The sequence below is a fragment of the Homo sapiens genome, chromosome 12 (assembly GCF_000001405.40).
Source record: "Homo sapiens chromosome 12, GRCh38.p14 Primary Assembly".
Classification (NCBI taxonomy): domain Eukaryota; kingdom Metazoa; phylum Chordata; class Mammalia; order Primates; family Hominidae; genus Homo; species Homo sapiens.
In genome coordinates this window covers 80634542-80661968 of record NC_000012.12, presented here as the reverse complement: position 1 = coordinate 80661968, position 27427 = coordinate 80634542, and the positions used below count along the sequence as shown (strand labels likewise).

General features: G+C 33.2%; 1 protein-coding gene and 1 long non-coding RNA gene across 2 annotated transcripts in view; one reads left to right on the top strand and one right to left on the bottom strand.

Moving 5' to 3' along the window:
* The window catches only part of PTPRQ (protein tyrosine phosphatase receptor type Q), a 236039-nt gene that overhangs the window by 18305 nt on the left and 190307 nt on the right, over nt 1–27427 (bottom strand). Inside the window, exons 35-39 of the mRNA NM_001145026.2 lie at nt 26896–27024; nt 13046–13072; nt 12300–12381; nt 9135–9225; nt 3908–3984 (exon numbers count right to left, since the gene is read on the bottom strand). Of these exons, the coding sequence (NP_001138498.1) occupies nt 3908–3984; nt 9135–9225; nt 12300–12381; nt 13046–13072; nt 26896–27024 (406 nt within the window). The remainder of the gene's footprint in view (nt 1–3907; nt 3985–9134; nt 9226–12299; nt 12382–13045; nt 13073–26895; nt 27025–27427) is intronic.
* LOC105369867 (uncharacterized) overlaps nt 1–27427 on the top strand; it is a 176665-nt gene that overhangs the window by 45270 nt on the left and 103968 nt on the right. The gene's annotated exons all lie outside the window — the stretch shown is intronic.

The window sequence follows — 27427 nt, the reverse complement described above, 5'->3', positions numbered from 1 at the left end:
CTGTAGAGCAGGCTACTTAAATAAGCTAATCTTCAGTTTCCTAATTATAAATTAGAGATAATCATTATTTTCTTGCACACCTCAGAGAGTCATTTTGAATACTATTTGTAAAATAAGGAATGTGAAATTGCTTTGAAAATTTTGAAGTGCTCTATAAATGTAAAGGTTTCCAAAAATTGCAGATTTTTTTATGTTAAAGTTTATCCATATTATACAGGAAATAATGACATTTTAGTGCCTATCAATGTCCTTGAACAGGTTTTCTTTATTTACCCATATAAGCTCTAGGGAAAAAAAATGTAAAATGTGCAGTTTATATTTACTCCTGCAAACACCCTCAATTGCTTTATTATGCTAAAGAAAATGTGTTGGGCATTGATGGTGATATATTTGTATATGCCTATAAGTATATGTGTGTATGTGTACATATATGTGTGTACATATACACATATATGTATATGTTTATATACAAATGTATACATATCGGCATATAAAAATATATCACCATATTCTATATTGTTTGATAATTATTCCAAAATTACAATATATATATTGGGTCCTATTGCTAAAGGAGTGAATAGTGGGAGAATTTATATACATGCATATACATATCTAGATACATACATACAAAATGTATATATGTTTATATTATATATATACATATATAAAATATAGACATATAAAATATAACTGTATATACACATATACAAATATATTTATGTATACACACATATATGTGTTTATATATATATATTTTTTCCTTTTGTATGATTATGATGTCATTAAAAGCAGAGATTCTTCATCTTAATATCCCCCAAACTGTCTAGCAAATCCTTGTAAATGATGTATATAAACATGCATGTGTGTTTGTGTTTTCATATGTATGTGTTTTAGGGGTCCTCAATTCATATTGAAGGATTGATAGTAAGATCATGAAGACTGAATCTCCATCCTTACGTGGTACTAAGATAAGAGGAAATATACATGCTTATCCTCATGTAGTGCCCAGTACCTTATGCTCTTCCTCACACAGAGAAGGCAGTTAATAAATGAGATCACTGTGAGTTAGAATCTGACAAAGGCTATGCTAAATATACAAAGTTTGGAGGGATCAAAGAAGAGAGGACGATCAATATTAATAAATTGATTTTGATTTATAAAATGTATCTCTTGTCATTTTCATTTCACTTTTTCAGGGACACAATATCCTTTAGTATTATAATGCTCTGTCAACATAGGAACAAATCTGATGTTTCTAATGTTACTGCAACCATTTGCATGATAGCCTTTAATCTCTAGTTGTGTTAAAAGCTGTCATCAAATTAAAGTAATTGCAGGCATCTGAAATTGACAGGAGAGATAATTTTGACGAGCCTTCCTCAAAATTAATTATAAGCCTTCCTCTTATACCTAAAATCACAGTATTTTCATTTTTGACTCTCTTGAAAACCTTTCTAAACTCATTTGTACAGTTGGTGGCAGATTATGGGGCTGCAATATCACTTCTTCCTACCTCTTTCACAGTCTATCCTTCATCAAAATCTTCCAGCCTTTCCAAGTCCTAACTCTGGGAGCACCATTCTCGAGAATGGCCAACGGCAGAGGAAAACACACATTGGCATGTTAACCTAGTTATAAACCCTGGGCTGGAGGGTCCCAGTCTTAACATACATCCCTCAGACCATATGCTGGTCCTCCTCTGTCTCTTCCCCAGACTTCAGTTTTTCATGTTTCTATCTGAACACTAGTTATTTTGCTTTCTTTCCTACCTCCCTCTATAGTTCTCTTCCCTTTGCCATAGCTTCCAAAGAAATTGAAACCCGGAATCCATTCATAGATGACCTCTGTCTTTTGCTCCTGGGACAAGTGTTCATAAACTTTCAATTGGAAGTGCTTTCGAATAAAATTTGGGGGTAGGGGGAAATTGATATACCAGACATTCTTTCTAAGGTGAAGATTGTAGGAATACGTAGGTGGAAAGTGAGGGCCACTGCAGTATCATTGCTACATCTGTTCCCATCTGTTCTTGACATCCTGAGCAAAGGAGATTTCTCTGAGTGCTACAGTACACTGCCAGCCCCAATATAGAAATCCGCCTTCTTGTAAAGTGCCTTCCATCTGAGCCTGCTTACCATGCAGCTCAGCAATGATTATGCATATCATTACATTGGGTCATAGTGACGTTGTTGTAAGATTTATTATATTACAACATCACTTGATTACAGCAGAATATATATCTTCAGGCTTCCTAGTTTATTGCTCATACCACGTTATCATTTGCTCATAGTTGTATGCTGACAACCTACCATATTTCAAGGGGACACTGGGGGTTTGCGAAAATTACTTTGCTTACATAATCTGTGTGGTTCAGCTACACCTACTAAAATTGTCTGTTTTTCTTCTTAATTATATTCATATCCTGTACTGTCATGCCTTATGGAACATTAGACAATATGAGCTGTTGATTTGTATCTACTTATTGGTGAATAAAAAATGATACAAATCAATAGGTCACTGATACAACCAGTTGTCCTTGTCCTGCTTGATGGCATTTGATTATCAGAGTAGTGATGAAATGTAAATATCTAAATGCATATATGCATCATTTTGTAAATCCAAGTAAAACTTTAACATGCTGTAGAGTTTAGATTTTAATGGAAATTGTAAGCATAAGATTTCACCAAAATGTTTACATTTTGAATTACATTTTAGAGGGAATCAATCATTTGATAAATGAATAAAATGTTACCATAATAGTAAATTCATGTAATTCTTTAAATACAGATTTAAAGTTCTAGCATTAAAATAGAATGAAATTTAAAGAATACCTTAGCTTCTCTAAACTTTCCTTCACTTCTCTGGTTAAAAAGTCTTAAAGTCTTAAATTCTCCCATTATTCACTCCTTTGACAACAGGACCCAATATATGATTGTAATTTTAGATTAGTTATCAACCAATATCAGATTTAGAACTAATTCGTTTTTTTCCTCCATGACAAAGGCTTGGAGGGAATGAGACACAGCACAAGTATGTTTGACGTTGGAGAAAGGGTGGAACGTCATATAACAAGAGCCTTAATAGAACTGAAGGAAATAGAGGGCATGGATGAGAAGACCTATGGATAAGAAAAAGCCTATGGAGAGTGTGGGCAGCAGAGGAAATCTTCATGTATTTGTAGATTCACCATAATGAAGATGGTTAAGCTTGCTATGCATTAGAATTTAAGTCAGTGGGTAAGAATATAAAGAGACATAACTTGGTTAAAAAAAAACCCAACAACTGTAAAGCAGAGTTGTTTAGAGATAGAATCCCGTCTTAGGAAGAAGTGGATGAATCAATGCCAAAAGAGGCTGACAGGAATTTTTTAGAGTTTCAAGGTGAATGGTCAAATTCAAGGCACTTCCTTCTTTAAGATTCCATGAATTTGCAAACCAAGTGGAGATCTTGAGTGCATATAAGGTTTCAATGTACCTATGATGGTGATGGCATTATTACCCGCTTGAAGGACTGCAGATCTAGAAGGGAAGAGCTGCATAATAAATTTTCATGTTATATGGACATAACTGTCCATTTGATAATTTTTAATTCACAGAGATTGGCAAACTTCATTGCATATGGAGAATACATTAACAAAGCATATGAATTAGTGGAAAGATCAGGGATGTGTAGCCTGAAGTTGAACATCTGCCGCGCACTGGTGAAATAATTTTTGATAAGTTAGTATCTCTGTTAGGCATATCCATATCCACATCTATAAAATAAGGGTACACAATGTGGCTGTAAATAACTAGCATATTAAGATCCATAGGAGTTGTAATAAATTTGTTGTTTTAAGTAATTGGAAAGATAATACAATTTCAGTAATTATGTTTTATACAATTATAAAATATATAAAATAGTAACTTACAGAAATATAGCTGGCATTAATATAATCCGAACCTGGAACACTAGCGTCAGCTATCAGCTTTACTCTGTTATTATTATCTAGAAGAAAATATAAGGAATCAATGTTAATTGGCTTTTTAAATTGTTACTACTTTTTTTACTATAAAAGTAATACAAAGGAGTTCATAATATAACATTCCAATTTCACAGATGGCGGTAAATTTTAAAAAGTTATTTCTTCTCCCATATTTCTACCACCCAGAGACAATGACTATTAATATGTCCTTGTATATATTTCCAGAATTTTCTATACATATTCTTTATATTCTAATTTTCTTTAGCTACAAATGGAGTGATATACAATCTGTTCTGCAAATCGTTTTTTTCATTTACCTATGTCTTTCCGTATCAGCATAAACAAAGATATGTAGTTAATTATTTTTAAAAGCTATACAGTATTTCACTGTTTGAATATATAATAATGTAGTTATTTAACCTTTTATTATTATTTAAATGATTCACTTTGTAATTATAAAATGTTGAATAGATATAATTGAAATTTTTGCATATTGCATATATATAGGAGTGTACTTGTAGAATATACTACCAGCAGTAAAATTTTTAGATTTTATATATATGCATTCCAAATTTTGAAAAACATTTCTCAATTGTTCTCTAACAATTCATACTCTGAACCAAAGTGTTTGAAAAATTCTGTTTTCTCTTACTTTCATTATCACAAGGTATTATTAAACACTTTATGTTCTTTGTACAAATACAAATTGATGTCTCATAATATTTATTTTGATTTCCTTAAATACAAGTGAAACTGAGCTTCTTTCCTTATGTTTACTGACCATTTTAATGCCTTTCCTATTAACTGCCTTTCACATTTTCTCACTTTTATTTAAAAAAAGTATGTTAAAAACAGAAGGCTACATATCGCCTTTTGTCATATTAATTAAAATTTTCTTCTTAGTTTGTCATTTGTCCATGAATTTGTCTATCAATTTTGCCGTACAAAAATTTATATTGTTATGCAATCAAATTTCTCATTATTTTTCACTATGACTTTGTACCATTTGTCAAAGTTGTCATTATAAATTATTATTATTTTACAAATTCTGTTTCTTCTGAAAATTTCATGGATTTTTCTGGTTTTAAGTATTTCAATCTTTGTCCCATTGGGACTTTTTTTTTTTTTTTTGAGGAATGAGGTATAAATATATCTTTTATTGTTTATCTGTTGTCGTTGGAACAACAAATAGTATCAATTTTTTAACATTTCATCTTTTGTCCCTGATTTGGAACACCACTTTGTTTTCTAGGTAGTTAGGTCTATTTCTAGACCATTCATTCTTTTCCATTAATTCATCTGCCTATTCTTTCTTTCAAATTTCTAATTACTACTTTTTAGAATATTTTAAGAGCTAGTAAAACTAGATACCCTGTACTCATTACTTTTCTTCAGAGAAAAATGTCAGAAACTATTTTTCCTGAGAAATTTTACCAAGTTGATATTATAATTGAAACATCCAGTAATGATTTTTAACTAAACATGAAATATCCACTACTTAATTGTTTTGATGGGTTGTTTGTTTTCAAGGAGGAAAAATGGGTAAACAGGATTGGGTCTGAATTCTAGATGATCTGCCTACCATACATATGGGCTTGGGTAAATTGCTAAGCTTCTCTGCTCCTTGGTTACCTCAGCTACAAGATGTCATTATAACACAGATTTTGTATAATCCTCTTGAAGAAAATTTACATGAAAGCTTATAATAGGCACTCAATACATGTTCTTACATTCTTAAAACTTAAGCACATAATATGTTAAAATGAATTAGTTGTATTGTTAGTAATCACAATTACTTGCCCAATGTGGTTATGTTTAGAAATGGGAATGATTAAACACATTTCTGCAAATGATTTATGTCCCAAATATAGAATTTTATATGATCTAGTTTAATGACATTGTAACTAGTCCTGTTACTAAGGAAGAGAATCATTATGTTTCTATTCACTAGATACACCTCCTTATAACTATCTGAGTCAACTACAAGCTAAACTTTTCTTTGTGGTGTTGGAATATTTCTGAAGGTCATAGGTCGTCTGTCAAACGGAGATTTGGAAATCTCTTCTGCAAGTATTTGCTGCTAATTCTAGCATCTTAAAGTGTTTTAAGCTAATGTCTTCTAAAACATGCTGTGATATTTGGCATTCTGCTTCTTACATTACTCAGGGGAGAGAAACAATGGACTTCATTTAGCTGGCTCAAGCTAAAATTCAAATTCTATTAGCTAAAATTCAAATTCTATTAAAATGAAATCAATCTCTGCAGGGAAAATAAATTTTCTTCAGCTTTATGGGTTCTCTGCAAGCACAATAGGATAATCTACTTAGTTTAAACATCTTATTTGCTTGTTCCTAGTGTGTGTGTGTACATGTGTGTGAGAGTGTGTATGGGTGTGTGTGTGTGAGAGAGAGAGAGACAGAGAGAGAGAGAGAGAGACAGAGAGAACCGGGGGTATACTTGCCCATAGAATAGATGTGCCTGTGACTTTACGGCTTGGTTTCTAACCCAGGCTAGAGATTTGGGTTTGTTATCTCCAGACATAGCCTAAATGCCTATGAATTAACCTTATTCACCCAGAAAGTTAGCAGCTCTTAAAAGGAAATGATCTATTAACCAATAAGATAAGAACTAATATTTTGAATGTTTCCTGTGTTCCAATACTGGGCAAAGCGATTTACATGATTATTTCATCTAATTTTTACAATACTCTTATGGGGTAGAGACCACTGAATAAAATGTCCAGAGTCACTAATGTAGTTAGTGGGTAAACAGATATGTAACCCAGGAAACCTGATTAATTTTTTATCTCAGCTTCAGATATGGAAAATTGGGGTAGTCATACTCCTCGGTCCTTTTTATTACTTTAAGATTGTTTATTTAGTCCCATCAACCACTCTTATTCTCTTCTCATCCTATAAGTAATAAGCTAAAATTGTCTAACATTTCTTACAGTCTTAAAGGGAACCCAGATAATAATGCACTGAAATCTTAATAAATGATTGAAAAGTCACACAGCAAAAAAACTTTCTGATCTATCAAATTTTACATATTTCAAATTAGACACTCCTTGGAAGTAAGTTAGACATATTTGAATTACTTACTTTATATATACTGATATATTATAAATTAATTATTATTATTATTTTTTGAGATAGAGTCTCGCTCTGTCACCCAGGATGGAATGCAATGGTGCGATCTCGGCTCACTGCAACCTCTGCCTCCCAGGTTCAAGCAAGTCTCCTGCCTCAGCCTCTCGAGTAGCTGGGATTACAGGCACCTGCCATCACGCCCGGCTAATTTTTTTTTTTTTTTTTGGATTTTTAGTACAGATGGGGTTTCACCACATTTGCCAGGCTAGTCTTGAACTTCTGACCTCAAGTGATCTGCCCGCCTCAGCCTCCCAACGTGCTGGGATTACAGGCGTGAGCCACCGCGCCAGGCCATTAATTCTATACAATTGAAAAAATACTAATTATTCCACAGTTACTGTCCCTTAATCAGATTACAGTATTTATTTTCACAGAATATCACCAAATAAGCATGAAGCAAACAGTCTGGATGAAATTTAGGTGCAGATAAATATAAAGACATGGGAATGTCCATAACTTTTATACTTACATTGCATCCAACCTAGGTTAACTCTCTAAAAGAAAGAATAAAAGGATGCGTTGAAAAATGTCCTGGTCTTAGAAATTTAACCAGCCTGACAAACATGGTGAAAAACCATCTCCACTTAAAATACAAAATTAGCTGGGCATGGCGGCACATGCCTGTAATCCCAGCTACTTGGGAGGCTGAGGCAGGAGATTGCTTGAACCCAGGAGGCAGAAGTTGCAGTGAGCCAAGGTTGCACTACCGCACTCCAGCCTGGACAACAAGATCAAAAGTCCAAAAAGAAAGAAAAGAAAAGAGAAAAGAAAAGAAAGGAAGAGAGATAAGAAAGAGAGAAAGAAAGAAAAGAAAGAAAGAAAAAAAAGAAAGAAAGAAAAAAAGAAAGAAAGAAAAAGAAATTATGAATGTTTATTTCCTCTGACTGAGTCTTGTTATCTTGCTCTTAAAATCATTTACTTATGATTTGTTTTGTTGCAGAAAGGATTTAGGTGGTTAAAGCTATTTGTATTTTCATCCTATTCTACTTCTTAGAAATTAACAGGTTCTAGTAGATTACTACTTCCTATATCATGTTTCCTTACATTTGTTTCCTTCGTGAACTTCATAAGTTATTCCCTAGTTCTAGAATATCAGAATTTGGTCTGTTTCTTCCTATGCATGTCCTTTACAATTCGACATTCTATGATCACATCCTTCTCTAGGTCTACGTCTTTCTAGAAAGAAGAATTCAATTTTTAAGAAGTGTAGCTATTCCCCCAATATACATTTGAAAAAGCATAGACAAAAATATATATATACACACACAGATGTATATTATCTTTAAAATTGGGAACATTTCAAAACTCTAGACTTTGAAACGTTTCAGGACATCACAATGTCACTTTTTAATTTCATAGTGTAAAATGTATTGAATCAGAATATTGAAAATAGGGATATCTGTTCAAAAATATAATAGCAAACATATAGTTATTAGTAACAGAGAAATGTCCTATTTTCCTTTCACATCACTGTTAATTCTTTAAGCAATAACACTGTTTATTTTCTTATTGATTGAAAAATGAAGCTGTATGTACTATGGTGAAGCTCATTCTGCCTCATATGTAAAATGAATTCATGTAAGTGCGCATTTACTCTGGTCTTCAATGAATATTTTACAATGCATTTTTTTTATGTTCCATAGGAAAACACTGCTATGCTGTGAAGGGAAACTAATGCACAAAGCTAAGTGAGAATATTCCCTTTGCATTTGATGCTAGGTCTGTAGGAAGATGTTAAACAGGTTCATTACTTGGGTTTAATTACAAAGCTAAGAAACTATTAGGTCTACAGTTTCTTGCACCTGCATAAGTGAACTTGTGTGAACAAACTGAAAACCACGTATACTAACTTTAGTTAAATATGAACAAAGCAAAAGATATATAATTTGGTAGTCACTGCCAATAAAATACATTATTATAATTCAAACAATATAAAATAAAATATATTAAGGAAACAAAAAAGTTAAGATGGTAGGCATTTAAAAATATTTCCTAGCTAAACCAAAACCAACAAATGCACATACATGGTTTTATGTTTGGGAAGCGGTTTTTTGCTCTATTCCAAGGCAGATCAGCATCAGTTGAAGAAAGATCCTGAAGAAATTTTGGTAATTCCTGTAAAATAAAGTCATTACAAAGTTTACATTTATCAGAGGTAAACAAGAAATTTCACTTATTAAAAGACAGTTATTTGTCCTAAACTTTTTTTTTAATTTTTAAATTAAAAACACCTATCATAACTGTGGAAACAAGGTCAAGTTAACAGTAATGAGTTTACCTAGGCTTTCACCAAAAATATCCTGAATAAAGTTGGTCAGCTGGGTTTTGCTCTTTCGGAGATAATTTCTTTGCACTTTGGGAAGCCTTAAGATGTGGCAACCATGTTAGTGACCATTTTACATATGTTACTAATGGTTTCATCAGGTACACACTATTGTTTAATATTTTAATGTCTACTTAGTAGGAAAAGGGATTTCAATGATTTATTTTTTGTTTTCTCTCCTCAGGCAGTGTGATTTCATGCCTATTAATTGGTACAACATTGGTCAGTTTGAGAAGATGCCAGAGGTCAATTCCTGCTCTTAATAAGCATTGCTAAATCAATAATGGAATGCAAAGGTGCAATTAAGAATTATCAGATATAGATGAAGGGTCAAGAAGATCTATTATTGACATTTGATGAAAATTTATGATATTATCTATCTACCTTGCTCTTGGCAAAGCAAGCATCATTAAAAAGTCTGGCATAAGAAAATATGTTCATTATTTTGTTGAGCTGAAAATTTACATGTGTGAAATTTATAGTTTTCCATTTTAGAAATCTCAACTTGCCAAATTCCATAAAAAGCACTAAAAATATGTGTTTTAACAATTTTTCAACATCAATATAAATTATTTCTTTTAATTGGATAAGTTTCCCTTTCTTATTTTTTTTTCTCAAAATTAAAATCTGGACAATTGTTTACATATGGGTATGTATTAAGGGACAGGAATGGTGTAAGATCTGAATTCTGATGTGTTGGCACCAAAGGCTTACAAAATTTTTTTAACCCAATAAGGAGTCCTAGAACAGCTTCCTTGTGTCAAAGTTTTGGAAATACATAAAGAAGGGAGAAAAAAGGTGAGTTTAAATAGACTGAAAGAGCACTTATATTTTATAATTATTTCACATAAAAGTTTCCATTTCTAGACTTAAGCAGCTCTGGCTTTGGTAAGCAATGCTCAAACACTAGGTTGATTGTTTAGATGGTAATGTTACACTGGGCAGTGTTATCCTTATCAGGGTGCACAAGGCCACAATTCTCCCTATTTAGCTCTTTCTCCTATTGCTTTCTCTCTTTTCAGTGGGACCACAGATGAGTTAGACCGTTTTTGCATTCCTATCCTTTTCCTGTCTCTGGAACACCTTTTTTCCTTTACCTTCTCATTAGACTTCTGCTCATCCTAAAGTTCATCCTGAAAGACACCTTTTTTATAAACTCTTTTCTGGTTGATATACAAACAGATTTGATCCTCAATCTTCATGCATATCTCCATCAAGATACAGTAAATTTGCAATTTTTACACATCTGCAGTTCTTACCATAATATGAGCTTCTTTATGGTAGAATTTATCATCGTAATAGCTAATACTTGTGCCAGCTACTGTTCTTAGTATTGCTTATATTCAATCATTTTATATTCATAATTTAATAAAGTAGATATTATAATTTTACAAATGAAGATATTGAGGCAAAGAGAGTTTAAGAAATTTGCCCAAAGTCACTTAGCTGGTAAGTGCTGATTGTATGTGCCAAATACAATGCCTATCACATAGTAGGAACTTATAAATATTTAAGATATGAGTGAATATGTCCTGAGTTAAAAGGTTTATCAAATATATGCACCAAAAATGTATTTATTAAAACATAATTTAATAATTTGCTTTAGAAATTCTTAACAAAGCATTAGACAAAATGAAATTTTTAAAAAGTTCTTCAAACTATGGTCTTCAAAAAACTTAAACTAGAAACTTTCTCATATATGTGAAAATGTTATTGCTAATAAAACTTTTTATCTACTTGGTCATGCATAATGTAATTACATTCACTCTTATTCTAGGGAAATTACACTTTTGCTCCTGAAAAATTGAGAATTCTTGCTGTCTAAATGCTAGGAAGAATTTTATGGCACTATTGATTTTGTTAAGTCCAGACCAATATTTCTTAAGAAGCATAACCAAAAGGCTGCAGGAAATACCATTAATCTTCTCTCATTTTTGTTATTATTCCCTAAGAGACTGAAATATTATAATTCTGAATTATTTAACCCAATTGTTTTATTCTTTGTTTCAGGAGTTCACACACTGGAAATTTCATGGAAAAAAATAAAATAGAAATAATGTTTTTGGTGACATGTAGAAATCTGTCTTTCTTAATAACAAAATAATCATCTAAGTTAGAAAAGATGCTTATAACTCTTAAAGTAGCTTGAAGATTTGATATCTACCTTATGTTTTTAAATAATTTCAATTTTATAGATATACAAAATGTTAAAAAAAAAACTATTCCCAACTTTTAAGTAGATTTAAAGTGACAAATTCTTAATTTTATACATTTTCATTATATGATACAGCATTTATTCCATAGTAACTTTAAAAAGGCCCCCTGTAAAACGTGGACATTACTTATCTTTTTTTTTATTTTTAGACAGTTCTAGAAATAATTTTCTTATAGTTTCTGGAAGCTTCAAGTTTTGATCTCACATTCATCTATATCACTAATGTAAACCAAGTAGGTAAACGTAAAATGAAATAATTTAGTGTCCAAATGTAAAATAATTACTTAAATATAAAACTACACTTATAGTATGACCTAAACCTTGAATACAAAACAAACTAATGAATATGGCATTCTACATTTGCACCTACATCTGGATGAAAGAGCAGAGAATAGACAAGGTCATGCTGCCAATACAGGGGAGGTCTGAAGAAGACCACCTTTTCCTGACACAGTAGGTGAATAATTCTGATCAGGTTGCACCAGAGGCGGCCCAGTGTAACATTACTATCAAAACAATCAACCTGGTAATTGGGTATTGATTATCAAGGCCAGAGTCCTTCATGGCCTTGCTTGCTTAAAATGGACATGAAATGTGACACATGAAACGACTGGAGGTCTTGCAATGTTGTGACAACTGCTAGTAACATACCGAAAATTCTTCTTGAAACTTTAGGTTGTTGTTTGTGCAAAGCTCTTCAACATGTTGCAGGAAGGATTTCTTGCTTATTGGCCTCCAAGTAAAGAAAGGTATAAAATAGGGTCATGTTAGATTGTATTTGTTCGCGTTAGCATTGGCACTGGCTTCACTTTTAACAAGTTAAAGAACAATGGACATCCCCAAAATCACAAACAACACAGCTTTTTAAAGTCACTCTGTTATACTTATAAAATTAACTTTTCTTCTTTAAGCTCACTTTCTTTGTATTCATGGCACAAAATTCCTTCAATTTTTTAGTGACATTAAATAAAGGATTTAGCATTTTAATGAAGAAAATTTTTCAAGTAAATGTAAGGGCATGAAGTTATCATTGACTCCTAAAGCACATAATACCTCTTTGTCAGACAGAAAACATTTTATACATTACAAGGTTTTAGAAGATATAAAATATTGCAGTGACCTCATTCTCATAATGACATGGTTTTCAAACCCCAAGGAGTTTAAATATCCCCGTATTACTTCCCAAGCTAAAATACAGACATGCAGGCTTCACCCCAGAGAGAGAGAAAGCATTTCTCCAGTTACCATGCAATTAGTCATGCTTTTATGATTTATATCCAGCTTGGAGGTTTTTCCAACAAACATACAAAAAGTGAATCACACATTAAGGTTCTACTGAGTCAGTGCATCTAACTTTGATATTCAAAAAGAAGAAAGAAAATATTTAACAAACTTACTTGATGGATTTTCTATAACTAAGTAACCTGCAATAGAGATTGTGTTAAATGCATTGTGAGTCAGAGTGGACAGCTAATTCTGAAAGAAGTGTAGATTAAAGTCAGAAAATTATAATAAATCAATAATGTAAAATGTGCTATGCCTTTAACTAATATATGATCATTATTTTAAATTTTATTTATTTTTTTGAAATTACATTATTTGGACTCAAACATGGCAAATAATTTACATTCTTTCTCGAGCTGAAAAGATGTTGTTGTTATTATAAATGTCATTATAAATGCTTAAAAATGTTAGGCATTTAGGATACTACATTAAAAATAGATCACTTTTTAATATATTGCATGGTATTTAGTGGTCTAAAAGAGCTAATGTGGATTTTAAAAATATTTCCTCTATATATAGAAAGTGTTGAACCAGACAGAATGAATCCATGAAACATGACATCACATTGGTTAAGTATTGTTTCATGAGTGAGTTTGGATAAATACACAGCAACAACAAATTATAACTATTTCCATTATTTTAGACCTATCTTTTGTGACAGATCATTGGCCAAATTACTTATACTCTGTAAACAAAAATAATTTTAACAGCTAAATAGGCTACACAACATACACAAACTTAGAGAGGGGCGTATCATTAATAACACTTACGTCATGCACAACAAATTAGCACTGCAAAAAACACAAAAGGCACAAAATATAATGAAATGAACTAAGGAACATATGACTTTTTCAAAGTTTTAAATCTAGAATAATATTAGGGATTTTACTATATTCTTTAATTGAAGAATATTTGTAAGAAGATATGTTTTTTGAAGCAAAGAATGAATAAAAGAAAAAAAATGGTTTGAAAAACAGAGCATAATAAATATGAAAATGGTCAAAAAGAGGTGTATTCAATGAAGAAAACAGGATTTAAAAGGAAGTATATTTCATTACAATACAGGAATTGTTGAAAAATATGGGGATGCTGGACCAGGTATTACAAAGTAGAATGTTAGAATTCTCAGTTAATGATGGGTGCCCCCCAAGCAGAAAGAGATGTTGTATCTTCCAGCTTCTCAGGGTAAACATAAAGTGATAGACTATTCCATTGCCAAACAGGGCATCTAAGTGACAAAGTAGCAGTGACTAACAAAGAGTCTTGGTGGATAAGCTTAAGAGTGCCCCACAATACCCTAGAGTGATTTAAAGAAAGCAAGAAAGAATTCCTTATTCTAGATGGATATGGAGATGGCTGAAAGGGCTACCAAATGAGAAGAATCTTTGATTTGGGGAAGGGAAAATAGAATGTCTGAATATTGGAGGCCCTGGAAATATCTCTGACATAGTAACAGTTGCAGTGGGGACTGAAGCCACAATCAATCTTTGTTAAAAATAATTACCCCTCAGCGAAGACCAGCAAGAAAGAAAGATAAACTACAGGCTACATCCACACATACTACCTAGCTCCCTTAAGATAACTTGTTGCCCAGTGCCCCTATGATACCTTGTTCTTCAGAAATAGGAAAGAATAGAAGGTTGTGTTGGGTAAATTCTGATCAACTGAACTTAAGATATAAATGACTGAGATGCTTTGATTACCAAGGTCTATTTCCCTGCTACCACATGGACATAGAAACTCTTGAACTTTGTGGAAATAACTTTTATAATAACAGCAAATATTATTCCATTGTGATTGGCAAAATTTAAGCACAATATATATGATTTAGTGACAGGCTAGTAGTCCACCTATATAAGGACAGTGAGACTGCCACCCATCGCAGAGAGATTCCTTTTTCCTAGAGGATCATTTGAGCCGGTACTGCAAAAGTATTTTTACTGAGATAACTAGAATCTAAAGTAGATGTTGGTTTCTGGGAAAATGTCAATAAACCATTTGAAGCATCAGTATACATTTGTGAAATCCCTAAGAGACATTAAATGTGAATAATCATATTAAAGAAAAGTGAGCAAGAAATAGCTAAAGCAAAATATTATTCATATTATTGCTCTTCTTTAATCATCTCTATTCTTCATTTCAGAAGTTATGATTAATTGAATAAATATACATTTTTTTGTTTTAAGTTCATGTCTTTTCAGTGAAAAACTCTACCAAAAGTTGCTGTTTCACTATTCTTAATTCATTTTGCATTTAAAATCTCTCCCTAAAGATTTTTTTTTTCGCAGAAATACATCATCGTAAATTTATTAAGTGCTGTGAAATTCAGATTTTTAAAAGTTTGTGCAGATGTCATTGGTGCCTAACCCACATCGCCTGGGCACTCAACATTCGCATGCAAGGAGATAGTTTCCTACTACAAGGACCTGCCACTCTCCTCGAGTGTCTCCTGCATCCAGGCTAGAAGCATCGGAGGGTAAATATTCCAAGAAACATCCATCAACCAATGACTAACCAGAGTTGGTGGATAAATACCCCAGCTCCCTCACCCCTCAAGGGGGATAATAAAGATGTGCATTTCATGATGTCCGCCTAAAGATATTTTAAACCATAACTGGCTATAATGGGTTTGGGTGGATATTTGTGAATTATTGCCTTATTAGAAAATATGATGCCTTTATTGGTTTCAAATACCTGCTTGAACAATTACTAGTTATATTATCATGTGCAATACTTAATTTTTCTGTGCCTCAGTTTCCTAGTTTGGGAAATGTATTAAATTAAGTTCATATATTTAAAGGTCTCTGCCTTTAGTAAGCAATACATAAGTATTGGTTACTATCAATAGTATGATAATTACTATTGCTAATTTAGTTTGTTCATCTCAAGCTGCTCCTATCCATACTGTTCTACAATTGATACTGATATAAGGAAGGGATTTTTTCCATTATTTCCAAAAGAATATTCTCTTAATTTTACTCAAAGATGGATAGACTATATTGTGCTAAAATATAGTAGTCACGAATATCTAGCTTTCAAATCCAAGTCTGGATTTCTAGCTCTCAATTCGAGATCCCAAACAAATCTCTAATACAATGACCATAATAATTCAGTTTTCATATAATCATGTAAAACATTTCTAACCATGCCCACATTTCTGACATTATTCCTTGTAACTCCTCTTCATGCATCCTGTTTGCACTCCAGATATTCTCTATATATCCCTCCCTCTCAATTTTATACCATTCCAGGCATTCTTCGTACAACGGAAATTTTACTTATTCTTTAATACCTGATTCAAATGTTAACAACCCTATCGATCTTACTCTGTTCTACTAAAAAGAAAATAATTTCCTTTGCCTGTAAAATCAAATTTCCAAGGACAAATCATCTTCTATGTTGTATTATGGCTATTTAAGTCCCTGCATTAAGGATACAAGTGTTTGGGCTCATATATACTTCAGGGCTGGGGCAGGATTAACACTTGGCTTACTAGATGTCCCTCATAACATTATTCACAGTAAACATTAAATAAAACATATCAAATATAAAATTGTGGATGAATTCAGATTAAGATACACAGAAAGCAAAATATGAATATTCTGGCTTTATTGTGAGGGAATATCTGAATTGAATACATTTTCACACTAAATTATTAAGAAACTGAGAATTCTCAAGAGGTCCTAACTCAAAGCTTTAAATACGTATAATCAATAGATTTATCAACAAAAAGCATGTGAGTCTAAGCAAAAGCCATAGCAGATAACCTAACGTTATAAATTAACAGGTGTACTTTGTTAGGAAGTTAGATAAATGAACAATAAAATTGCTCTTGCCTACTCAAGTGATAAACAAATAGGCACACACTTTAAGAAAAAGAGAGGTGGAATCTGATTTGGCTTTATTTTCTTTTGTATCACTCTTTTTTATCTAAATCCAATCACTTTTTAGAATCTGTTCTTCACATTTATGTTTATATAAGATAAGAAAGCTTCTAGTAGTCCAGTTTTTATGTAATTTTCTAGTCTGTACTTATGTCACAATCATTTGTGAGTTGAAATCTTCAAATACCTATTAGGAATGCTCAAATTGAGAAGACATTTTGAGGTACATTACCTGACTATTTCAAATAAAAGTTAGATATTTCCTTCCTCATTGTTGTCTGTAGTATACTTATCATTGCTTTCGTTCTTAGCCTCATGTTGTATAGGTGTATTTCTCCCTTAGGTGTTGGCTACATTCTAAATTGTATTTTTCTTTGAGGTTTTAAGCTTTAATGTTTATATACAAAAAAATTAATTTGACTGATTTATAGAGAGAATTAGAAAAGAAAATGGGACATACTATAAGGAAAATGCACTAACTTATCACTGAGAGGTATAATTAAATTCCTAATAGGAAAAACTGTTTGCTTAAATAAGCACTAGAAACTCACAGAAATTGATGTGCATGAAAATCAACAATGCTATTTCAGGAGTGCTAGTTTCGAATGAAGTGATCCAAGGAGATACTCAAACATACTCAAATAGAAAACTTTTTATTAACATTTTAAAAACTTAAAAAAAAACTGTTAAATGGAAAGCATTTTTAGACTGGTAGGATATTCATTTATGATAGTGAAGGTTACTGTCAGACTATAATCAGTTCATTACTGGATAAATCAATTTGGGAACTGTCCAGATTTCAATAAGATAACTGACTAATTTCCAATAGAAAGGGCTAAACACTTTTTATTACACGAATCTTAACTGTCTTAAATTCTATATCTTTTGGTTGAAAAGTGTCTTATTTCACGTCTGGACTCATTTCTTTAAAGCCTATCAAAAACTTAAATTCCACTCAGATTACTCTTGATGGATCTAGAAAGGAAGCATTTATTTATGTTGGCAGTGGTGATTGAAGACCATATTGTCACAGAGACTCAGCTTTCCCTCAAGGTCAATTAGTTGAAATCTATAGGGAATTAAAATATAGTCCTAATAGAGAGCCACAGATGATAACCTATAGCTGAGCAGCTTCAACCAGCATTACCAGTGGTATGGGACAAACTGAGAAACTTTTCTTCTACTTAACCAGTGATGTTAAGTTAAAAATAAAAGAATCTCAAATTTGTCAATTGGTGTAAAAATATGTATTTGTATCCCATAGCATGTACTTGCTACTTAGATTAAATTTGTGAAGAATCTATTTCTCTGGTACAATATTAATATTTCCAAGTTTTGTATGATACTGAGTGTGAGTTTTTAGTTTATATATTTCATCAAGTCACTAATGACACATAAATTACATCTACTTCTACAATATTCTATCGCTTATCCAAAGCATCTATTTTAATACTTTTAAAGGTGCCTTAATTTTTGTTATTTCCTATTAGTTTTCTTTATTTTGTTCTTTCACATCCTTCTGCATTCTTTCACATCCTTCTGCATTCTGTCACATCCTTCTGTATTCTTTTACCAAATCATTGATGTTTCCGTGGTGCTCAATATAAATTTAAAATATCCTAACCCATGGTTGGTCCTATACAGCTGATTCTAAAATTTTATAAGAGAAATATACCATAAGTGAGTAATAGAATACTTCCTTTTTTTTTTTTTTGAGATGGGATTTCACGATTGTTGCCCAGGCTGGAGTGCAATGGTGCAAACTCGGCTCATTGCAACCTCTGCCTCCTGGGTTCAAGCGATTCTCCTGCCTCAGCCTCCTGAGTAGCTGGGATTACAGGTGTCTGCCACTATGCCTGGCTAATTTTTGTACTTTTAGTAGAGACGGGATTTTGCCATGTTGGCCAGGCTGGTCTCGAACTCCTGACCTCAGGGGATCTACCCGCCTCGACCTCCCAAAGTGCTGGGATTACAGGCATGAGCCACCGCGCCTGGCCATGTAATACTTTTTTAAATCAGGAAAACAATTAATAGTAAATGATATGTATTACCTTCTCAACATATCTTCTCATATGTGTAGGACAAATCAGTTTAAAAGAAGCATTAAATTTGAAGGATAGCTCTTTGGAGGCAATGTTTCTTCCTTTCTCATCACACTATTCCCAGTGCCTAAAACAGTGCCTAGCACTTGAGAGATACTCAATTGTTTTTTTTTTTTTTTTTTTTTTTTTTTAAGACGGAGTCTCGCTCTGTCGCCCAGGCTGGAGTGCAGTGGCGGGATCTCGGCTCACTGCAAGCTCCGCCTCCCGGGTTCACGCCATTCTCCTGCCTCAGCCTCCCGAGTAGCTGGGACTACAGGCGCCCGCCACTACGCCCGGCTAATTTTTTGTATTTTTAGTAGAGACGGGGTTTCACCGTTTTAGCCGGGATGGTCTCGATCTCCTGACCTCGTGATCCGCCCGCCTCGGCCTCCCAAAGTGCTGGGATTACAGGCGTGAGCCACCGCGCCCGGCCCTCAATTGTTATTTATTTTTATTTAAACAAGATGAAATGGCCTTTTAGATGAGAAGTGAATGCAATATTCTTGCTGATGTCAAAAAGCTCAGAGGTATGATCCCCAGTGTGGCAGAAGTTGAATTTTCCTTATTACTAAGCCTTTCCACATTAGCACATTTGAAGAAATATTCTTGCCAGAAGTCTTCTTTTGTCAACCATGTATTCTAAATGAAAACCATGGGCATTGTTTAGCTACATCCGGGGCAACAGGGTAGAATTTGTAGATAGAGAGGAGAAAGAGACTGATCAAAGTTATGTGAAGAGATGGATGGGGCCCTGAGCAAGGACTCAATGAATAGGAGATACCAGAAGATATTATACCAGCTAAAAATAAGGCCTTACTGCCTGTTAGCCAAGATGACAGGCAGGCAATAACATTTCTCTGTTAGATGTTAGAAGCAACCTCAGAAAACTGGATTTGGAACAAGACAGATCTACTTTAAATAGTATGACGTATGTAGAGGTGTTCTATAAAGGTTCTGACTAACACAAATGATTAAGTTTAGCTGTGTCAGGGTAAGGGCTCTGATTGAGCAGGGTACTAGTCACTGATTCTAGGAAAGAAAATTTGGCGTTAGAGAGAGGAAAGCAAGAAAAAAGAAAGAAGCAAGCAAGCAAGAAAAGAAAGAAAGAAGAAAAAAGAGAAAGAAGAGAAAGAAAATAGAGAGAGAGGGAAGGAGGGAGAGAAAGAGAGAGAGCGAGAGAGAGAGAGCAAGAGAGAGAGAGAGAGAGTGAGAGAGAGAGAAAGAGAGAAGGAGAAAAAGAATAGGAAAAGGATTCTATTTTATGATGATGAAGAAAGACATTCAGCAGAGTTGCTCAACCAAACCGCCTCTGAGTCTGGAATGGCCCAGAGGTTAACTTTGAGTGCTGGTTGAAAATTGATATTTTATGTGTAATGTGATCAATTAAATCTTCAGTTTAACAGTGTCTTACTTTGACAAATGTTTGAACCCCATCAAGCAGGTCCTCTGAAGGAAATGTATTTTCATTAAAGTATTTTAATTCTGTCAATGGGAACTTGGTAACTAGTTAATCTGAAGTTAAAACAAGGTTACTTATGATTCCCAAATGCTAAATGTGATTAGATTAGAAATAGACCGGGCTTCCTTGATTTTAATAATGCAGAGTATTATTCATGGTTAACCAGACTATCAGGAGCTTTGGCCCCATTCAGCCTTATAGCTCATGAAGACGGATTCTTCTTTAGTAAGGCGTGTGATTTTGAAATCAAATGCCTTTTTATTCTCTGCCTCCATTCATATTCCTTCATTTACATTCTTTGCATGAAGAAATTTATTATGTTTGGGACGCTCAATCAGTTACTGGGGTCCCTGCTAGTGCTGATATTCTGCTATGCTACTCTCAGAATGTAACAAAAAATGTTTGTGCCAGGATACAAATGGCATTTCTGAGCATCAGGGGAGTGCCTGGAAGCGTGCACAGTTGGCTACCCATTGGTCAGTGGAGAAATAACGTTTCCATGAAATATGCCATTCTGTGTATGCACTAGAGAGTCAGGGAACAAGAAATGTCATTGTCTTGGTCCTTACAGGTTAACCATCTACAGTTGCAAAAATGAGCTTGTATGAAATGTAAATATAGTTTCCACCCATCAGATGTAGAGCTCAACTCTTGCGTCATGTTGATAACAGAATGAGAAGCCTGTACAGGAATCTAGGTGCAAACTTAATTTGCTATCAAATCTAACACAACATGAGAACACAGCAAATTCTCAGGACATGCACATTATGAGTCAATGTGCATTTTGATAAGATTAACTTGACCATTATCAATAGCATGCAATATTATAAAGGACATGTTGTAAATAGAAATATAGCTTTTGGGGGGAGCTTTGGAAAAAATAGTGCATTAAACAACAAGATGTTCAATATTATGTATTTTAAAATATAGAGCACACCACCTGACAAGATTAAAATAATCACAGCAGAGTTCTGCATTACCACAGTAACTTACTGGATGACAAAAATCTCCTTGCGTCTAAAGAAAAATGAAGAGTATCTGCAAGTAAAGATTCATTATTTAGTATACAAACACACTGAATTATTTTTGATTTGTTATTACAAGAATATGAGCATTAAGTATCTCCAATTTCATTCTAAGCATAGAACATTTCTTGTATTCCGAATTCACAAATTTTTGCCATTGTTTGCAAAGATAGCTTAAGTTTAGAACGGAAGTAAAATATATGAACAGAATTTGTCAAAGAATGATGACACTTAAAATGTGAACTATTAGAATTTCATATATCAGTCAAAAATTATGAGTTATTATTGAAGCCAAAATAAAAATTACACTACTAAAAGTTTTCCAGTTCCTGCAAGTTTGAGTCAACATTAAATGCCATCACTTCTTTGCTTCATATCATGAGACAACAAAGAAATCCAAAGAGGAACCTCTTTCTTTAGACTCATTCTCATCATAGAAAATGCTGCTGAGGAAGAATTCCATGGGTCTTTGTCTATTTAAGAAAGTTTACATTAATCTTCTCTAGTATGCTTCGAAGTTAAACACACACACACACACACACACACACACACACACACACACGTGTATCTTCATACCTCAGAGAAAGACCTGGGCTAGCTTGTAGCTCTCCTGCTTATTAGCTGTATGACCTTAGACATTTACATAAACCTGTCCTATCATCATTTTTTAATCCATCTGTAAAATGGGGATAGGTGTACCTACCACTAAGGTTTGAAAGAGTTAAGTGAAATCACTACATGCAGAGTTTAACACAGGAGTTGCTCATAAACAGTAGCTATTATTTTGTTAGCAAACTCTATATATGAAAGTAGACCGGGGTAGTATTCAATATTACAAATATAAATCACAATAGTAACAATACCAAAGGTATTCTGGTTTACAGTTTACAAAGTACATATGTAGAATTTTTTTAAGCAGTAATCTTCCTGAAGACATAACTGTGTATTTAACAAAAATTCAACATGTACACTTCTGAAGTTACTGAAGAAAGAAAATTATTGAAGAAGACTTCTCTTAAAATAGAAATTTTTCCAACTCATTAGATTGTTTACTTTATCTTGTGAATTTTAATTCTATTCGTGATTATTGGATTGGGCTTTGAGGCTTAAAATAATGTGCCATTACATTCACTCAACTAAAATAGGCAGGGTAATTAATATGAAGTGGTGCATAAAATTTTTGAAAAAAAATTGAGGACTAAAAGAAACTGAGTTTCTGTCAAGTAAGAATATTAGTGACATTGATTAATGTTGTTTTACTATTCTTTTCTGATTTAGTCGGCATAAGAAACAAAACTTCCGTGACTTAAATGCGGAAAGAAGATAGTAAAAAATAAGCTTATTTAGCAAATAGCATTTTTAGCTTACGAAAATTCTGTTGGGTTATTTAATTATAAGTGATGTGACTCTCATGGGAAGGTAATCGTTGTACAGTTAAAGTAGTTAAAGGCAATCCACAAGGTGAGTCAGTCTCAGTGATACAGGTCTGTGTCTTACTGTGCGTGTCTGTGTCTGCTGATCTTGCCAATAAGAGCTCTAAGAAACCTTTCTAACTTCAGTGGGCTAAGTGGTGGTGTTTTGCAGGAGCCATCACAAAATGTTGTTCTGTATGTTTATTAGATAACAAAACCCAAGGATCATTTCCTAATTCGGTAAGTGTGAAACAGATGAGCCCAAAATGTTACATATTCTTCCTAAGAATTATAGTTTGTGTTATCTAAACTTAAACATAAAATGTGAATAATCTTTGTACATAATATAATTATCATTCAAATTGAGAATTTAAAACGTTATTTTAGTATATCCTTGAATGTTTTCATAGAATTAAAGAGTACTACATCTTTATTTGACTCCTGCTCTCATTTGGGAAGAAATAGTATAGAATGATAGAGTGAGAGAAGGCATTTTCAAAAGTTTTGTGAAACAAAGTGGAGCATAATTAAATAATGAGTTTACAAATAACAAAAATTACAGAATGGGTTTTAAAGTGTAAATATACAGGCAGAGAGTATAAAATAGTTAAATAATTTCTAAAATATGAAACCACAAATCATTGAAAGGACTTAGTACCAAGCACCATGTTTGTTTTTTGTTTTATTTTTGCCTAGTTGGTAACTTCCTAAAATTAATATTTTAATTATTGATTAGAGATTCTTCTTTTATCATTTATCTTTTGGACATGGGAAAACATACAGGACTCAGAAAAGTTATGAGCTCAATTTTGCATGAAAAATTTAGCAGGTTGGAATAAAAAGGACATGCCTAAGAATCAAGTAGAGAGAGCGTATGTTAGCTGGGTAGATTTTTTTTTTTTTTTTTTAACGGAGTTTCACTCTTGTTGCCCAGGCTGGAGTGCAATGGTGTGATCTTGGCTCACTGCCACTTTCAGCCTCCTGGGTTCAAGTGATTCTCCTGCCTCAGCCTCCTGAGTAGCTGGGATTACAGGCATGCGCCACCATGCCTGGCTAATTTTTGTATTTTTAGTAGAGATGGGGTTTCACCATGTTGGGCCGGCTGGTCTCAAAATCCTGACCTCAGGTGATCCACCCACCTAGGCCTCCCAAAGTGCTGAGATTACAGGCATGAGCCACTATGCCCAGCCTATTAGCTGGGTAGATTTAAGAGAAATTATGGAAGTTCTTTCCTGCAGATAACAAAGACATATGGTGGAAGTCTGCCAACAATTTAGGGAGCTAAATCAGACTTCTTGATTCTCACTCCTAGAATCTACCATCAGTCTCTGATTGACTTTGAACGGATTTAGATCTTCAAACACCTCAAAACAGATGAAGAGTTTTAGAGCTTCACCAAATGACAGGATCCACTCATATGTACATGCAGCTAATTATATTTGTTATTTTTTCCAGTCTTATTGTCTAATGTTTTAGTGACTTTATTAACATAAAAATATTGCATAAATAGTAAAGCTGGACACAGATCTCTGTACTGAAGAATTAATGCCCAAATCACTTAATTGTTATTTTAATGCATTTCTGTAATAAGTCCAGCAAAGCATGTTATTATGTGCCATTGGAATTACAAACAATTGTGAATACCAGAATCACAACAAACAAGTGAAAAAGTGAAAAGCATGGAAACTAATATTTCCAATTTTGCTATTATCATGGGTAATATATACTAATTCTCTGTGTGTAACAAAATAAAAATTATCTGAAATATTATTTCACTTTTAAACCCTTTTACAAATAATGCAATATGTAAATAAACACAGAAGTGGAAAAATAAATAATGAAGAGTGAAGGTCAAATAAAGTAGACCCTGAATTATAAATAACCAATAGTAAACAATCTGTACATTCCTTGCCCACCTTTTTCATGATCTGAAACTTTTCTGTAGCTGCCATGACAGTCATTCTTAAAAAAAAAAAATCTACTCTTTTTGTTTGACATGGAGTCTCGCTCTGTCACCCAGGCTGGAGTAGCTGGGACTACAGGCACATGCCACCATGCTGGGCTAATTTTATATTTTTAATAGAGATGGGGTTTCACCATGCTAGCCAGGCTGGTTTCAAACTCCTGACCTCAGGTTATTCACCCTCCACAGCCTCCCAAAGTGCTGGGATTACAGGCATGAGTCACCACACCCGACCTTTTCTAATTTTTTTATGATGATGTATTTAGTGTTCAGAAGTAGAGAAAGGGGCAAGCTGTGAAAATATATAGTGCTTAGGGGATTGAATCTCACCACAGTCTGCCTCGAATGTAACCTCTTCGATAAATAATACTTTCTCCAATATTGACTGTTTAAAAACATGACATAATAAACAAAAAGAGTGCTTTTTCACGTTATTACATTTGCTGAAGATATACTTATTCAGGATTTTTCACGGGCTACTAAGTATTCTTTTAACAAAATGAAAATGCCTACCAGTGTTGGGGAGGGGGTCGGTCTTAGAAGTTTACATTTTAGTATGAACAGATTCAACTATATTGTTCAAATAGCTAAAATTAATTGCATTGAGAGATTTGAATTTTTTCCCTTGTGCATTTTCAGTTGTAGAATAAAGGGATGGGCCACACAGGCCTGAGGAGGGGCAAAAGGAACTGACGATGGAGTGCAGGAAGGAGGCTAGGAGGATACCACTAAAATTCATTTGGCCCATAGGGGAAAAGGAGGAAAAACTTTCTTTGATGATGCAGAATGATTCCTTAAGGGCTGAGACACAGTCTAGTAGTAGCAGTGCTTGTGTTCCTATGATATGGTTTTACTTAGATGAGTTACCCTGGGAATCTTTTATTGATTCTTTTTACATATTTGATATTTTGTACATAATATTTCTTATATAGAAAACTATGTCTTGGATAACTTACAATCATCTGACACTTAAATCTTTGGAGTACTATCCATTTGTGGATAGGACCACTGTATTAGAACACAAAGATCAACATCTGAATGTTTAAAAAGTCAGCTGTCATATCCAAGAAAACACATTTCCCTGCAATTTAGTGATAACATTGAATAACCTTCATTTTGTAGCATTTGGAAGGACTTTGCTTATCAGATGACACTTCCCTCTATAGCACATATTAGGTATTTTTAGATATGCTGGAAATATACTTGCAAAGTCCATCTATTAGATAAAGACCAACTTTAACAAGTGACAACTACAAATGAATAACTTTTTGAGTCCAAGACATTTGATGCCATATTTTCAAAATTAATAATAATTTTTTTAATTTTAACAGAGCTGAGCAAATACTTGGTAACAACTACTTTGTGCTTATAAGCATTACATGTTATTGAATCTTATAAAAATGCAAACGTTAAAATAGCCTGATGGTAGTTTTCATTAAGAATTTGATGAATTATCTTAATAGACAAGTTTTTATAATGTGCCAACATTTTGAATAATTGATAATGCTTTTAAAAGGATTTATAATTATTTTTTCTTTAAAATTATGTACTTTACTATTTCCAATAGGTACCAATGAAACATATTTAGTACACATGTTTTTACTTTTCCCTCTGAAGGTAACTTTTTACTTTATATTTAATTTTTAAATACAAAGAAATGTAAAAATGATATCATATACAACTTAGACTTTTATGTACTTTTATACTGAAATAGTTATTAAAAAGCTTTTATAAAAATGGATATAAATAATATCAAGTAGTTATAAATTTAATTAATTTAAACCTGTGATTGAAAATGTGGACACTTCCAGAAAAGTTTAATGTAAAAATCTATCATATGAAATGAATTATTAAACATAATGTCAAAGGTTTAATGTGGAAAAATATTTGTCCCAGGAAAATAATCCTGATTGAACATTATAGTCCAAAGTTCATATTTAACTCAAAATATTAGGAAGATTAAGTGATTCTCTGAACAGCAGTGAGAAGTGTGTAGAAGACGGAGGTCACTCTTTGAAAGAAGATCTCTGTGACCTGTGTAAATTAGAGCCCCACAAACACTTCCAACAAGCATAGGTCAGAATAGGGTCATGGCTCCAGGCCCTCTGGACCACAGTTCACCCAGAGGAGTGTGCTCACCGCGTTAATCTCTCGTCCTTCAGTTCCAGGTCTGCCACTGTGATGAGCTGATCCAGCTTCAATTTAGTGTCAATAATTTCTGCATCCTGAGGAGAGTATGTGCCACCTTCTTTCTGCTTCTGTCGAATTCTAAAACAAGCGGAGTAAAGTCCAAGAAGGGAGTTTCACACAAAGTATATAAAATTAGGTTTAGTTTTCTTTTTAAGTAAAGACATTTAGTCAAATAATTTCCTTGTTAAAATCACCTCTCTGAATATGTTGCAAATTTATAGCTACTCGACTTCTTTTTCTTGTTTTAATTCCATAGAACCTATTCTACTTTCTTTTTTTTCTAATAAGTTATTGGGATGAAGTTCTAAATTTAAGAAGAATTAGTTGACGAAGGCCTGAGCCATTGGTACATTTAAATATAGAGCCAAGAAGACTTACGTTGTGATCTTGTTTCTCTTCTCTCTAGCTATGTCATTGATTTGTCATATAAAGGAACTATGCCAAAGTGAAAATAGTTCAATGCTATCAATAGTATTGCTAA